Raw genomic sequence first — 15,400 nt, 5'->3', positions numbered from 1 at the left:
AAATGGATAAAAGCGTTGCTCAGTGAATTGGACACAGTTATTGACTGGACACAGTAATTGGACACAATAATTGACTATGCAGGCAAAAGATGTTTTCTGTTGGAATCAGACAGAATTCTACCTTTGTACTACTGTTTCAAGGTGATCTAACATTTCTCTTCTATCTTCTAGAAGCACTATCATGCCACTATCTGAAGTAGTTTTTCACCTGTCCCTGACCAAAAGTGCACAGACTGACTTCAATGCTTCGGAGTGCATACATTTGAAATGTAATATGATAGAGGCTGGGTACGGTGGCTTACGCCTGTAATCCCAGCACTTTGAGAGGCCGAGGCGGGCAGATCACCTGGGGCCAGGAATTTGGGACCACCATAGTGAAACCCTGTCTCTACTGAAAATACAAAAAATTAGCCTGGCGTGGTGGCGCGCGCCTATAGTCCCAGCTACTTGGAAGGTTGAGGCACGAGAATCGATTAACCCGGGAGGCGGAGGTTGCAGTGATCCCAGATGGCGCCGCTGCACTCCAGCCTGGGGGACAGAGGGAAACTTTGTCTTAAAAAAAAAAAAAAAGGAATAAACTTATATGGTAATGTTTATTAGCTTCCCTACTAGTGGATATATTTCGTGTCTGAATGGCTCTATGGAATGATGTACATATTTGGATTGGCAGCCTTAGGGAGCGTCTGATAATAATTTTAGCCTCTGGGAGCCTGCTGAACTTTATGAAGTTTGAAATAATATTCCCCAAACACTTGGGTGATCAGTTGCAGATGGCACCTCTAATATGCTGTCTGATTACGACCCATTTAAGAAAGGGCGAAGTCCCTCCACTGCCCTAGGACTTGGATAAGCCATTTCTCATCGCCCAGCGCCCTGGAGCTTCGCTTTTACTCCAAGAGGTTGGTGCAAAGGGTCCCCGGCACCCACCTCGGGATCTATGAAAACTACATTACCTAGAATGCTCTGCGTTGAACGCCACGCTACTAAGCCAGTAAGAGCTCAGAAAACCGACTTTCCTTGAGAGTCACAAAAAGAAAGGACGGGACTTTTGGGGGGGCCTCTTCGTGGCGGCCATTTTAGCTTCTCTGAGGTGTGTTCACCGGATCAGAGATAGCAGAGCGCCGAGTTGGGGCCACGAAGGCGTGAGGGGAGTCGTCGTCCCTCCTGCACGAAAGCGTCTAAGCCTTGGCGACGCCGCCCTGGGGGACCCACGTCAGGCCTGGGATAGGGACCGCTGTCCCCGGGTCCCTACCAATGTCGCCCGTCGCTCCCGGCCCAGCTCTACCCGCAGAGTCTGATGGCAGCGGCCACTCTGAGGACGCCAACTCAGGTGAGTGCGGCGTCTTCCCGTCCTCACACACCTTCCCCCACCCACGTTCTAAAGCCATCAGTGAGGGGCGCCTGCTCGAGTCCCCGCTGCCCAGGGTCGGGGACACTGAGGCGTTCGTGGGTGGGGCCCTTTTTTTGACACTGCGTGTGACGAGGTGTGGGAGAGCGTGACAGGCGGAGGAACCGGCGCGTGCAAAGGTTGAGGCGCGACTGAGCCAGGAGAATTCGGAAAGCTGTTTTCTGCAGGGAACGAAGAATATGAGGCGGAGTTACTCCTAGGGTTGTACTGTCATTGTGAGGATGCTAGAAGCCACGGAGAGTTCTGAACAAAGGAGGGACGCCATTTATGTTAGTTTTTTTTTCTTTGAGACGGAGTTTCGCTCTTATCGCCCAGGCTGGAGTGCAATGACGCGATCTCGGGTCACTGCAACCTCCGACTCCCGGGTTCAAGCGATTCTCCTGCCTCAGCCTCCCCAGCAGCTGGGATTACAAGCCTGCAGCTGGGATTACAACGTCCGGCTAATTTTTTGTATTTTTAGTAGAGACGGGATTTCACCATTTTGGCCAGACTGGTCTGGAACTCCTGACAAGTGATCCTCCTGCCTCGGCCTCCCAAAGTGCTGGGATTACAGGCGTGAGCCACCGTGCCCGCCCTATGTTAGGGTTTAAAAACTTTTCCAAAGACTGTTCACAGGAAGAGCAGCGATGGGGCGATGAGGACATTGAGATAGTGGGAGGCTACATCTTTTTTTCATTGCCCTACAGTTGGCAAGAGGTGACAGCACTGAGACCAGAAAGTAAAACAGCCAGCCTGAGTTCAGGGCCAGGCAGGGCTACAGGGAGGCTTGAGCTCATCTAGCCTCACCAGGGATGCATTCCTCTTTCCCTGGTTCTCCCAGTTGTAGAAGGGCGTATGGAACTCACATAGGGAAGTGGAGAGTGTTCGGTCCCTCAGTAGCCTCTACCCCCATGTTCTTGGGATTGTGGTTTCCTAGTATTCTTAAGTGCTGTTACCCCAATCCTGGGTCTGGTGCCCTGGAGAAATTCCAAGCCCAGGGCTCTTAAGTCCATGCCAGAGGTTACAGGGGTTATACTGAGGTGTTCCCATTTTTGTCAGCCAGTGGAAACTTGTGAAAGGTTATCTCTGGCACTGGTATCAGGAGGCGCAAGTGCTTAGTAAAACTAAGCTGAGATTTTTGAGGAAACCATAGATCTGTTTCCTTTTAGCTGGGAACAAAGAGCAGGGGGAAGGAGTCAGGACTGCAGTGGCTGCCTGAGAAGTTGGGTACCTATTCTGGAGGTAATGAGAGATTTGGGTTACAAGAGGGAGGTGATCTTACCAAAGTCCTAACAGGGTCCATCCCGTTAGCGTGGAGAGCAGACTGTGGGGTTGAGGGAAGAGGAAAGAAGATCAGAGTGGAAGCTACAGCCAGTCCAGGGTAATGGACCAGAGTCATTGATTAGGAGATGTGTTGCATTCTGGATGCAAATTTTTAAAGGGAGCAACTAAATTTTCTGATGTAGACAGCGAGGGAGTGAAACAGGATTCAGCGATGACCCCATGGTTCTTCAACTGAGATGGAGAAGTTGGTATTAACAGTAATATTCACTGGAGACAACAGGAGCTTTATTTGGTCATGTAAGAGTTTGAGATGTTTCAGAGACATTAAGTAGGCATTAAGTAGGTGGCTGAACACCCAGGTCTGGAAATCTGGGGAGTGCTTCAGAATGGAGACATCCAAAATGTGGTGGTCATTGTGTGGACTAAGGTGAGTGAGCTGTGGATTACATTTAGAAGGGTTGTTCTATTTTTTTTTTTTTTTTTTGAGATGGAGTGTCTCTCTTGTTGCCCAGGCCAGAGTGCAATGGCGCGAGCTTGGCTCACCACAACCTCCGCCTCCCGGCTTCAAGCAATTCTCCTGCCTCAGCCTCCCGAGTAGCTGGGATTACAGGCATGCGCCACCACGCCCGGCTAATTTTGTATTTATTTAGTAGAGACAGGGTTTCTCCATGTTGGTCAGGCTAGTCTTGAACTCCCAACCTCAGGTGATCCACCCGCCTCAGCCACCCAGAGTTCTGGGATTACAGGCGTAAGCCACCGCATCCGGCCTACAAGGGTTAATCTTTAGGCATGGTGGTACAGGTTATTTGGCCAGGAAGGGCAGAATGGGGGCTAAGGACCAAGCCTTTTGGTTGGATAAGTGGGTGATATTCTTGGGCTTTCTAAACAGAGGTAAGGGAGGTTAGTGGCTATGGAGGTAGGGTGTTTGGAGAGGATAGTTGGGCAGGTGGCATACACTTTCAAGGGAAGAGTGGATATAAGGTGGATGCAGAGGCATAGGTGTATTTGAGGCAAATGGCTGTCCTTTTTTTCCTTTGTGCTTATTCAGCACTCTGTGGAATCACCAGGATTTTTTGATGACTTTGATGGGGCCTAGGGTGTTTATTCAACCTGGAGGATAAGGCCAGGTGCCAATGTGGTCATCTGTGACAGTCACTTGGCCTGGGGTAGGTGATCAGTGGAGCTAGTCTTTGAGTGTTAAGTGGACAGAGGAAGGTTGTTACTGCTGAGGGGCTAGCAAGTGCAGCACGGAAGTGGAATAGGGCCATGGGTATCTGAGATGCACATGTGGTTCTGTGTGGCCTAAATCTGAGGCAAAGAATGGAGCCAGCCAGGGAGCCCTCATAGGATTTGGGGCTGCTACCACTAGTGGATGCCCTGGGAGATCTAGGGTAGTATTAGATCCGTTTGAATCTGTCGAGCATACTCTGGACGCTGTGTGCTAAGTTATGGTGTAAAGTCTAAAATTAAGGCCCAGTATGACATCTGGTGAAATCAGGGTGGCATCAAATGGCCTGAGTACAAGTTTCCCTCCCTACTCTTCTCCCAAACAGACAACCCTTTTAATCAAGGAGACCAGGCACAATTTCTGCCTATCACTTTGTAGCAGATTTCAGCTCCCTACCAGGTCATGGAGTTTTCCAAACAAGCCCATTGTGGGAACCAGGGGGCAGTTGATCCTTTTGTTCTCAAAGTGCTTGCATCCCACAGTTTTTGGTTATTCACTTTTTTTCTGGACTAGACCCCCATGTGACCCTGTGTGGTACATGTTGTCCTCATCTCCCAGGTTCTATGTACATATGATTAATAAACTGCTATATCATCTTTCTTTTTTTTTTTTTTTTGAGACGGAGTCTCGCTCTGTCGCCCAGACTGGAGTGCAGTTTCGCAATCTTGGCTCACTGCAACCTCCGCCTCCTGGGTTCAAGCAATTCTCCTGCCTCAGCCTCCTGAGTAGCTGGGATTACAGGTGTGCTTCACCACGCCCGGCTAATTTTTGTATTTTTAGTAGAGATGGGGTTTCGCCATATTGGTCAGGCTGGTCTTGAACTCCTGACCTCGTGATCCACCCGTCTTGGCCTCCCAAAGTGCTGGGATTACAGGCATGAGCCACCATACCCAACTGCTGTATCGTCTTTCTAGTGTCAGGTATTGTGTGTTTGTCCATATCCATAACCCTAGTGTGGCAATCCTGCCTTCGCTAATGGGGTAAAGAGGAAGAGATTAAAACAGTGACATGGGAGGTAAGAGCAGGGAGATGCCTATGGTGTGGGCAGTGAGGTGGCAGCCCTGGGCTTGGGGCTGTGGTGTCTGGAGATAGGAGGGATGTGTATTCTGAAGAATGATGTGCATCTGGAAAGGGAGTAAGTGACAGCTGCAGGGCCCTGGTATTGAGACTTAGATGACCTTGGACATTTCAGGGGGATTTCATGATGGGATAGTATGGATCCTTCCATGCCAGGCCCCCAGCTTAGATGCCTATTTATCCATGTGCTGGTTTCTCCTCTCAGTTGGGGAGCTTGGGAAGAGAATGGGCATGGGGTAAAGATGTGGGGGTATGCATTGTGGGTCCTTGGGATAGGGGCTCTTGGTGGTTTCATCTGTTCCCATTGTGGCAGGGCACTGTGACCTTTGAAGATGTGGCCGTACACTTCTCCTGGGAGGAATGGGGTCTCCTTGATGAGGCTCAAAGATGCCTGTACCGTGATGTGATGCTGGAGAACTTGGCTCTTTTAACCTCTCTAGGTAAGGTTCTTTTACCCTTTCCTGTGCCCTGAGCTAGTCTGTGCCCTTCCTCTTTTCTCTATAGGCAGGTCTGTCCTTCTCATGACAAGACTATGGGCTCTGCTTCTTTCTCAGTTCCCTGCATAGTTCTGTCATTGGTAAGACTAAGGTGTGCATACTGTCTTCTCCTCTCCTTGAGGAGCCCCAGTACCTGTTTCCTCACAGCCTCACAGGGAAGGATTCAGAGTCTGCAGTCTTGCAGTCACCCTAGTGGATCCCACCTTGATTGTCCCCTCCATGTCTGGGTGACTTTTTCCAGATTTGAGGATCCTGTGTGCCCCAGCTACTACTTCCATCCCGAGCTGGCATTTCATTATGCCTGCCTATGCCAGGAGTTATTGTCACTGACATGGTCACTACTTATGTAGACCATGGACTCTTCTTACAAAGTATTCCTCTGAAATTTTCTTTGTAGTATTTGTGTGTGTGTGTGTTTTTCCTGTGGGCTGTCATGTGCTGAGTTTTTTGTGGGACAGTGCAGGCTGCTCTTCTGTTCTTTCTTCCCTTAGTACTTACATTATCCAGATGCTGTATCAGAGCAGCAACCTGTTCTGTTTGGCGAGCATTTTGGTGCCAATGCCAGTGGTCACAGCTCACTTCCGGTTTCCCTTCACCATTCTTGACATTTTGCTGACAAGTCAGCTCTACTACTTGTCACTTCTGCTCTTAACATCCAGCCTGGGGCTAATCCTCACATCTCTGGACTCCGTATCTTATCTGTTTTTCTCACTGCTACACCTGCAGTTCTTTCTAACGTTAGCCTCTATATAGTGTGTCATGAGGTATGCACATACTCTTTTTTTTTGAGACGGAGTCTCACTCTGTCACCCAGGCTGGAGTGCAGTGGCATGATCTCGGCTTACTGCAACCTCTGCCTCCCAGGTTCAAGTAATTCTCCTGCCTCAGCCTCCTGAGTAGCTGTGATTACAGGCGCATGCCACTGCACCTGGCTCATTTTTGTATTTTTTTAGAGATGGGGTTTCACCATCTTGACCAGGCTGGTCTTGAACTCCTGACCTTGTGATCCACCCACCTTGGCCTCCCAAAGTGCTGGGATTACAGGTGTGAGCCACTGCGCCTGTCCTTGCACATACTCTTAAACAGTCCTTGAAGGCCAGCTGCTGCATTGCAGTCGTATTTCCATGGGCTTGCATATACTATTCTACATAGCACTCATGTGTCGCCAGCAGATAAGCTTCTGCTAAAGTTGTTTGCAGAGGATTTAGTTTTAGACCCTGCCTCTCTCTTTGTGATACCTCATGGTTGTGGCCTTTACCTCTTGAGATCTCCCACATTCCTGTAATCTTTTTTTTTTTTTTTTTTTTTTTTGAGACGGAGTCTCCTTCTGTCACCCAGGCTGGAGTACAGTGGTGCAATCTTGGCTCGCTGCAACCTCCGCCTCCCGGGTTCAAGTGATTCTCCTGCCTCAGCCTCCTGAGTCCTGGGACTACAGGCACCCACCACCATGTCCAGCTAATTTTTGTATTTTTAGTAGAGACGGGGTTTCACCATATTGGCCAGGCTGGTCTCAAACTCCTGACTTTGTGATCCACCCACCTTGGACTCCCAAAGTGCTGGGATTACAGATGTGAGCCACCGCACCCGGCCCATTCTTGTAATCTTTATCCTAGAATTGCTAAACAGCCTCATCTGCAACTGAACCCAACTCTACTGTCATGCAAACGATCCCATGGACTTGTTCCTGGGTTTGTCATACACACACTTGTATAAGGGCTGCCCCCTCCCACCATAGTTAATGTGCACTTCACTAGCATTTCTTGCTTTTAGGTTTTTGGCATAGAGTGGTGGATGAGGAGGCACCTTCTGACAAGAGCATTTCTTTAGAAGGAGTGACCCAACTCAGGACTTCTAAGGCAGATCTTTCTCCCTAGAAGGCCCACCACTGTGAGACGTGTAGCCTGGTCTTGAGAGACATTTTGCTCTTGGCTGGGCCCTAGGGGACACATCATAGGCAGAAATTATATAGAGGTGGGGCATGTGGGAAATAATTGTATTTCATTGCAGATGTTCATCATCAGAAGCAGCACCTTGGAGAAAAACATTTCAGAAGCAATGTGGGCAGAGCCTTGTTTGTGAAGACCTGCACATTCCATGTGTCAGGGGAGCCTTCCACCTGCAGAGAAGTTGGGAAGGACTTCCTGGCCAAGTTGGGATTTCTCCATCAACAGGCTGCTCACACTGGGGAGCAATCAAATAGCAAAAGCGACGGTGGGGCCATCAGTCACAGAGGAAAAACTCATTACAACTGTGGAGAACACACAAAAGCATTCAGCGGTAAACACACACTTGTTCAGCAGCAGAGAACCCTCACTACAGAAAGATGTTACATATGCAGTGAATGTGGGAAATCCTTTAGCAAAAGCTACAGTCTCAATGACCATTGGAGACTTCACACTGGAGAAAAGCCTTATGAATGTCGAGAGTGTGGGAAGTCCTTTAGGCAAAGCTCTAGTCTCATTCAGCACCGGAGAGTTCACACTGCAGTACGACCTCATGAATGTGATGAATGTGGAAAATTATTTAGCAACAAGTCTAACCTCATTAAACATCGGAGAGTTCACACTGGGGAAAGGCCATATGAGTGCAGTGAATGTGGGAAATCCTTTAGCCAAAGGTCTGCACTCCTTCAACATCGGGGAGTTCACACTGGGGAGAGGCCTTATGAGTGCAGTGAATGTGGGAAGTTTTTTACATATCATTCCAGTCTCATAAAACACCAGAAAGTTCACAGTGGATCCAGGCCTTATGAGTGCAGCGAATGTGGGAAGTCATTTAGCCAAAACTCTAGCCTCATTGAACACCATAGGGTTCACACTGGAGAAAGGCCTTATAAGTGCAGCGAATGTGGGAAATCCTTTAGCCAAAGGTCTGCACTCCTTCAACATCGGGGAGTTCACACTGGGGAGAGGCCTTATGAGTGCAGTGAATGTGGGAAGTTCTTTCCCTACAGCTCCAGTCTCCGAAAACACCAGAGAGTTCACACTGGATCAAGACCCTATGAGTGCAGTGAATGTGGGAAATCCTTTACTCAAAATTCCGGCCTCATTAAGCACAGGAGGGTTCACACTGGGGAGAAGCCTTATGAGTGCACGGAATGTGGGAAATCCTTTAGCCATAACTCCAGCCTTATTAAACATCAGAGAATTCATAGTCGATAAAAGCCTTATGAGTGGCAAATGTGGAAAATCTGTTAGCACCCTGGAGAAAGTCCTTGAGTACACAGTGAATGTCAGAAAGCTTCAGCTGAAGGCCATATCTCATTGAGTGCCACACAGTTCACAAGGGAAAGACACTTTTGATATGTAGGGATGTCCAGTTGATATAACAGCTCTGAAGGAGATCCCTTATGAGGGTGGCATCAGCCTGAATTGAACATCCTATATCTGAACATCTGCATAAATTCCAGGTATGTGTGAACTGCATTGCACCTTTTGCCCTGCCCAGGGCCCATGTCAGATTTATGTCTCTGCTGATACTATAGTGGAAGCCATTTTACCTCTACTGCCTGGCAGGTGACCACCAGTGTGCACCACTCACCCATCCCAGTGTATTCAGGTAAGTGAACCTTGGTGTTCTGTTCATGGGAGGAATTTGTAAATAGCCTAAGCATTTATTCCGTTTTTTTTTTTTCCTTTCTGATGAGTTAGGCCATGGACCTGACCCAGTTTGGCCCAGAGGACTCTGCTGGTGACCTGAAAAGAGGGACTACATATTTCAGGATATTGTTGGTCTCACATGACTCTTGATAGAGTTTGCCAGCCTTCAAATCACCAACTGTGGGAACCAACTGCCTCTTATTGCCTTGGTTTGTACAATAACAAAGGCCTTATTAATCTTGGGGGTTCTATATGTATGGGTTGGTTTGAAAACAGTTGGGTTCTGCTAACATGAAGGGGTGAATAACTTTTTTTGGAGATCCCAAACATTGTGTAGCTCAACAGGGACAGGGACAGGGACAGTAGGATGGCAGAATATAGCTCTCTCTCTAGTTTGAGCCTAGTTTTCATTGCTATTCAAGGCCTCTGAGAAAAAACTACAGGGTATTGTCCTAATTTATATCCTGGATGCCATAGAGGTCAGCCTGAGGAGGCAGCAGTTACTTGACATCCTTTGATGTTTCTGAAAGCAACATGAAATTGTTCTCTTGTTCACAAGGAATACTGCATCGTGTTCAGTGCCAGTGGGGGAAATCTGTTCCCCAGGTCCTGTATGCCTTGATATCCTGAATTCCACAGGGTAGCACCACAGGTGGTAAGATTATAGTAGGAATTATAATTGTTATAGAAGTACTGGATTGATAGAGAGTGGAAAACTGCAATAACACTGCAATAAATAGAATGTGCCCCTTTTACAGAGGTTTCCATGATGTTCGTTATTATGGCTCTTAAGGATGAGCAGGTACAGAAATCCTCAGGACCTACAGAATTGTGTATCTTGTGTAGCTGAGGTCATTGTCAGAAATTTTATGGAATCCTGTAGCCTCTGGGATTTTCACCTCAAGGTCATTGCTATGCAGGCAGGAAAACAAGGATAGAGAAGGGAGGTCTAGGCCATTGATACAGCCTTTGTGATCCAGCCAACATTTCTGTTGAGTCAGGTGGAAATGGCCTTCACTGTTCACTTGTATTTGTGATCACTGAGGCAAAATCCTCTCCCAGGACATGAGGAGAGAGATGGTGGAATCAACATAGGGTTGTCAAACCTGATTTTCCAAAAACAATAGGAAATTCAGACTTTTATTTTGAACCATATTTTGTTAGGTTGGTGCAAAAGTAACTGTGGTTTTGAACCATGATTTATTTTTATTTTTATTTTTTTTTGAGTCAGAGTCTTGCTCTGTTGCCCAGTCTGGAGGGCAATGGCACTATCTCAGCTCATTGCAACCTCCGCCTCCCAGGTTCAAGCGATTCTTCTGCCTCAGCCTCCCAGGTAGCTGGGATTACAGGCACCCGCCACCACGCCCATCTGAGTTTTGCATTTTTAGTAGACATGGGGTTTCACCATGTTGGCCAGGCTGGTCTTGAACTCCTGACTTCATGTGATCCACCCACCTTGGCCTCCCAAAGTGCTGGGATTTACAGGCATGAGCCACTGCGCCCAGCCAAGCTTTTTCACCATTCCAATTTCCTTCAAATGCTGAACAGCCGTGGAATGGTTGACATTGAGTTCTTAGGCAACTTCTCATGTAGTTGTAAGAGGATCAGCTTCTAATATTGCTCTCAATTGGTCATTGTCAACTTCCAGTGGCTGGCCACTACTTCTCTTCAAGGCTCTTGTCTCCTTTGCAAAACTTCTTGAACCACCACTGCACTGTACATTCGTTAGCAGTTCCTGGGCCAAATGTGTTTATATCGTGAGTTGTCTCTGCTGCTTTACGACCCATTGGGAACTCAAGTAAGAAAATCTCAGCCGGGTGCGGTGGCTCACGCCTGTAATCCCAGCACTTTGGGAGGCTGAAGTAGGTGGATCACAAGGTCAGGAGTTAGAGACCAGCCTGACCAACATATTGAAACCTCATCTCTACTAAAAATACAAAAATTAGCCGGGCGTGGTGGCATGTGCCTGTAGTCCCAGCTACTTGGGAGGCTGAGGCAGGAGAATCACTTGAACCCGGGAGGCAGAAGTCACAGTGAGCCAAGATCACGCCACTGCACTCCAGCCTGGACGACAGACAAAACAAGACTCCGTCTCAAAAAAAAGAGGCCAGATGCGGTGGCTTACACCTGTAATCCCAGCACTTTGGGAGGCCGAGGTGGGTGGATCACAGGTCACGAGTTCGAGACCAGCCTGGCCAACATGGTGAAACCCCGTCTCTACTAAAAATACAAAAATTAGCTGGGCATAGTGGCATGCACCTGTAATCCCAGCTACTGGGGAGCCTGAGGCACGAGAATTGTTTGAACCCCGGGAGGTGGAGGTTGCAGTGAGCCAAGATCATGTCACTGCACTCCAGCCTGGGCAACAGAGCAAGACTCTATCTCAAAAAAATCGCTGAAATTTGAGTTTTGTCTAACATTTCCATAGTCTAAAATAAACATAAACAGCAAGTAGTAAGTCAGCAAAAAAACATAAAGCGAGAAATGCCTATTAAAATGATGTATAACCACATTTATTTAAGAATGTTTTCCAATATAAAATGGCAAAATCCAACATGCAAAAACGGCAATTACTTTTGCACTAACCTGATAATAATTTTAATAAGAATAAATGGTACATATTTAAACTATATAATTTGATCAGCTTTGATATTCATATTAACCTGTAATTGCTCCCACCATGCCAATTTTGAAACTGCCAACATGTTACTGAATGTAGAATTGGGAAGAGTTGCTGATAGCATCCTAATATATTCTGTTTCTACCATACTGATACAGTGGCCACGAATAACCTCAAGAATGTAGAAAATAAAATGTAGTGAAATGATTAGGAAGAAGTTGTTTCTTCACAATCATGACAATGAACGTGTCATTCCACAAGTTACCTCATTGTCCTTTAATAATTATCTGCCTATAGGCAACTATTGATTTACTTTCCATTATAATACATTAGTTTTCATTTGCTAGAATTTTATATGATTGAAACCATAATGTATTTACTCTTTTTTAATCCCTGGGTATAGTCACGTATTTATTTTGAGATTCATCATTATACCTCTATGAGTAGTTTCTTTTTTTTGTATTGCTGAGAAGTATGATGTTCTGTGGATATACCAGTATTCGTTTATTCATTCATTCATTTGTTATGGATATTTTGAGTAGTTTTTTAAAGTAGTTTGAGGTATAATGGAACTTAAAGTGCTTATATTTAAAATGCATATTTTGATATTTTCATACATGCTTACACCCTGGAACGCAGTTTCCTTCTGTCTTTTTAGTTCATTCTCAACATATAAAATTAATTTTCATTGTGTAAAATTACTGGTACAATGACATATTTTGTCTCCTGTTACAGCTGTGTTCAATTACAAAAAAAGATGGAAAAGACTGTTATGAAGCCAGATGAACCTTTCTCCAGTCTTCCTTCACTATTTTTTTTTCCTTCACCATTTATCATTTCATAGTCATTTATGTTTCATCGGTCCTCATGTGTACTAGTGCGTTATTTTACTTATACTCCCGGATATCATATTATTTAATGCATAGCCTCTTCAGAATGCAATTTTAAAATGTAAAGGCTCTTTTATAACCCCCCAAAAAATCACACAAATATATTTTAAAATGTAAATATTTTATCGCTTCTGTTTTCTCAGTTGTCTAAAACAATGTGTTTCTTAAGGAAGATCATTTTTATTCAGGATCCAAATGTATATTTAATAGCTTTCAGTAGTTGTATCTCATAAGTCTGTAACCTACAGGTTCCATTTACCTTTGTTTTCTTATTTCTTGAAGTTGCTGAGTCATTTTTTAATTAGAATTTGCTGTATTCTAGATGTGGCTTATTGAATCTCTAACATTGTTTAACTTGTACACTAGATGTTGATGAAATCGGTGATTGAGATTTTGTCCCAGCAGACAGGTGTGTGATGGCAACAGTGAAATAAATACAAAACCTTCTCCCAACCCAGAAATCCTCTCCACGAAGGTAGAGACAGAAAACGCTTTTATTAAGCATTAAACCAGAATGTGATGCACATCACAGACAATCCACTAAGAAATTGCAAGGTAAGAAAAAAGCCTCACTCCTTCATATGGCCTAGCAGATGTAGCCCATTACACACGTTTTCAAGATAAACAACAACAAGTCCTCAAATACGAATTTGACAGCACCATTTGTCACACATAGTTCATCCTAACAGGTGATGCTCTATTACCTTACTGGCTTTACCTAGAGGAAAAGCAAACATCATATCTTTATGACAGAGGATAATGAGGGGAGCTGCCTTGGGGCTGCTGGATGATACATCGGGACAGGACAGTGCGAGCTTCCAGCAAGGCAGCTCTAGTTGGAGCCCTGATTTCTTTCCAAGGTGAGGAGAGGGTGATGATAGTATCCTTGGGAAGGGGAGTGAAAAGTGCTGAGGGACTGTATTTATAGCTGAGGGATTTCCTGGGTGCTGTGGGTCTCTTGTCTTTGCCACTCTGCCTCAACACTGAAACTGTCCATTCCCTACTTGGAGGCTGCACCCAAAACCTCCCTCTGCCTTCATGCTCTGGCCTCCCCCTGCAAGTTACCACCCTGGGTCTTGGTGCTTGCAGCACTTCCGGTGCCTGGCTGCCCCAGGCCCTCTGCTCCCTCTGCTGCCTGGGTTTAATCCCTCCTCTGCCACTGCCCAGCATCAGGACTCTGCTGGTTTTGCAGCCTCTTGGTACCTCAGTTTTATGTTTGTGGAATAGGAGTGCTCACAGTACTCTCTGGGATCCTGGCAAAAGGTGTGGTAGGCAGGTGGTAAGCAGGGCCGAGCACTATCCCCAGCACCTAGTGAGTTGATGCCTTATCATTTACCTGATCCAGGCAGGTCTTAAGGTACAAGAGAAAGAGAAATGGGGCTTCTTAGAACCCCCTGACCCCACAGCTTCTACTTGGATGGAATTTTTGGAAGAAGCACTGGCTGCAGAGTCCAGAGATCTCAGTGTGAATTTCTGAAGGACTCCTTCCCAAGGAAGTGACCTTGAGAAAGTCCCCAACAACCCCTGTCAAGGACTTGACTAACAGCTTCTCTAATGTTTGTCTCCCTTTCCAATTTAAGAACAAATGGATGAAATCAAGTATGTGTCCCTAACCAATGACAGAGTAGGCCCTACTTGTAGTTAGCCTGCCTTCGGCTTCCTCAGACCCACAGACTCCAATTAGCACACCTAAAGCCTTCCCTTTTTTCTACTCTGAAGAATTCCAGCTGGGCGGCGCGGTGGCTCACACCAGGGACAGGGGCTGAGTGGGCTGGGGCGGGGCTGGGTTAGTGACTAGAGACCCTCTTTGAACCTCAGTGGTTGATTAGAATAAAACGAAGGGAAAAAGAGGCTGGGCTCGGTGGCTAACGCCTGTAATCCCAGCACTTTGGGAAGCCAAGGCAGGCGGATCACCTGAGGTCAGGAGTTTTGAGACCAGCCTGAACAACATGGAGAAACCCCATCTCTACTAAAATACAAAATTAGTCAGGTGTGGTGGCACATGCCTGTGATCCCAGCTACTCAGGAGGCTGAGGCAGGAGAATTGCTTGAACCTGGGAGGTGGAGGTTGCAGTGAGCTGAGATAGTGCCACTGCACTCCAGCCTGGGCAACAAGAAACTCCGTCTCCAAAAGGAAAAAAAAAAAAAAAAAAGGAATTCCGGCTGGGCACAGTGGCTCACATCTGTAATCTCAGCACTTTGGGAGGCCAAGGAGGGTAGATCACTTGAGGCCTGAAGTTTCAGACCAGCCTGGCCAACATGGCGAAACCCTGTCTCAACTAAAAATACAAAAATTAGCCAGGCATCGTGGTGTTCGCCTGTAGTGCCAACTGCTCAGGAGGCTGAGACGAGAATGGTTTGCACATTTCCCTGGATGCTGACAATCAAGACTACTACTTTCTTTTCTTTCTTTTTCTTTTTCTTTTTTTTTTTTGAGATGGAGTCTCCCTCTGTCACCCAGGCTGGAGTGCAATGGCACAATTTCGGCTCACTGCAACCTCCGCCTCCCGGGTTTAAGCAATTCTCCTGCCTCAGCCTCCAGAGTAGCTGAGATTACAGGCGTGCACCACCACGCCCAGCTAATTTTTGTAGTTTTAGTAGAGATGGGGTTTCACCATGTTGGTCAGGCTGGTCTTGAACTCCCAACCTCAGGTGATCTACCCACCTCGGCCTCCCAAAGTGCTGGGATTACAGGCGTGAGTCACCGCGCCTGGCCAAGACTACTGTTTTCATGTGGAGCTAATATTGACCCACTTCCTAAGGATTACCTCCTTACTTATTCCTTCTTCCCCCCAAAAAGAGTAGAGAGGAATGATCA

General features: G+C 46.5%; 1 protein-coding gene across 7 annotated transcripts, besides 3 other annotated features; it reads left to right on the top strand.

The window, feature by feature from the left end:
- Positions 838-1,477: an enhancer, noted in NCBI's record as "NANOG-H3K27ac-H3K4me1 hESC enhancer chr19:58220160-58220799 (GRCh37/hg19 assembly coordinates)". NCBI's record gives its function as "activates a minimal SCP1, AML or CMV promoter by ChIP-STARR-seq in primed H9 embryonic stem cells {active_cell/tissue: H9 hESC(primed)}" and the evidence as "EXISTENCE:reporter gene assay evidence [ECO:0000049][PMID:30033119]".
- Positions 885-944: an enhancer, noted in NCBI's record as "active region_15154". NCBI's record gives its function as "activates an Ori minimal core promoter by ATAC-STARR-seq in GM12878 lymphoblastoid cells {active_cell/tissue: GM12878}" and the evidence as "EXISTENCE:reporter gene assay evidence [ECO:0000049][PMID:35858748]".
- Positions 965-1,094: an enhancer, noted in NCBI's record as "active region_15153". NCBI's record gives its function as "activates an Ori minimal core promoter by ATAC-STARR-seq in GM12878 lymphoblastoid cells {active_cell/tissue: GM12878}" and the evidence as "EXISTENCE:reporter gene assay evidence [ECO:0000049][PMID:35858748]".
- On the top strand, positions 1,065-13,994 carry ZNF154 (zinc finger protein 154). 7 transcript variants are annotated; one of them, NR_110975.2, is made up of 5 exons: positions 1,065-1,330; positions 5,290-5,416; positions 7,481-9,031; positions 9,124-9,281; positions 12,428-13,994. NR_110975.2 is itself a non-coding variant. In NM_001085384.3 (3 exons), exons 1-3 carry the CDS (start codon positions 1,298-1,300, stop codon positions 8,632-8,634), a joined length of 1,314 nt encoding a protein of 437 aa, NP_001078853.1. In that variant the 5' UTR covers positions 1,065-1,297; the 3' UTR covers positions 8,635-13,994. The 7 variants fall into 7 exon arrangements, 2 of the variants coding, with proteins under 2 accessions (NP_001078853.1, XP_047295325.1); NR_110974.2 differs by having other exon boundaries at positions 9,124-13,994; XR_007066984.1 differs by lacking the exon at positions 1,065-1,330 and having other exon boundaries at positions 1,363-5,416.

The sequence above is a fragment of the Homo sapiens genome, chromosome 19 (genome assembly GCF_000001405.40).
Source record: "Homo sapiens chromosome 19, GRCh38.p14 Primary Assembly".
Classification (NCBI taxonomy): domain Eukaryota; kingdom Metazoa; phylum Chordata; class Mammalia; order Primates; family Hominidae; genus Homo; species Homo sapiens.
This window is presented reverse-complemented; position numbering and strand designations above follow the sequence as displayed.

Coding starts and splice junctions, on each gene's coding strand:
- ZNF154 (XM_047439369.1), top strand. CDS start 5,146: ATGCCTATTTATCCATGTGCTGGTTTCTCCTCTCAGTTGGGGAGCTTG. Junction 5,417..7,480: donor GGCTCTTTTAACCTCTCTAG/GTAAGGTTCTTT, acceptor ATTTCATTGCAG/ATGTTCATCATCAGAAGCAG.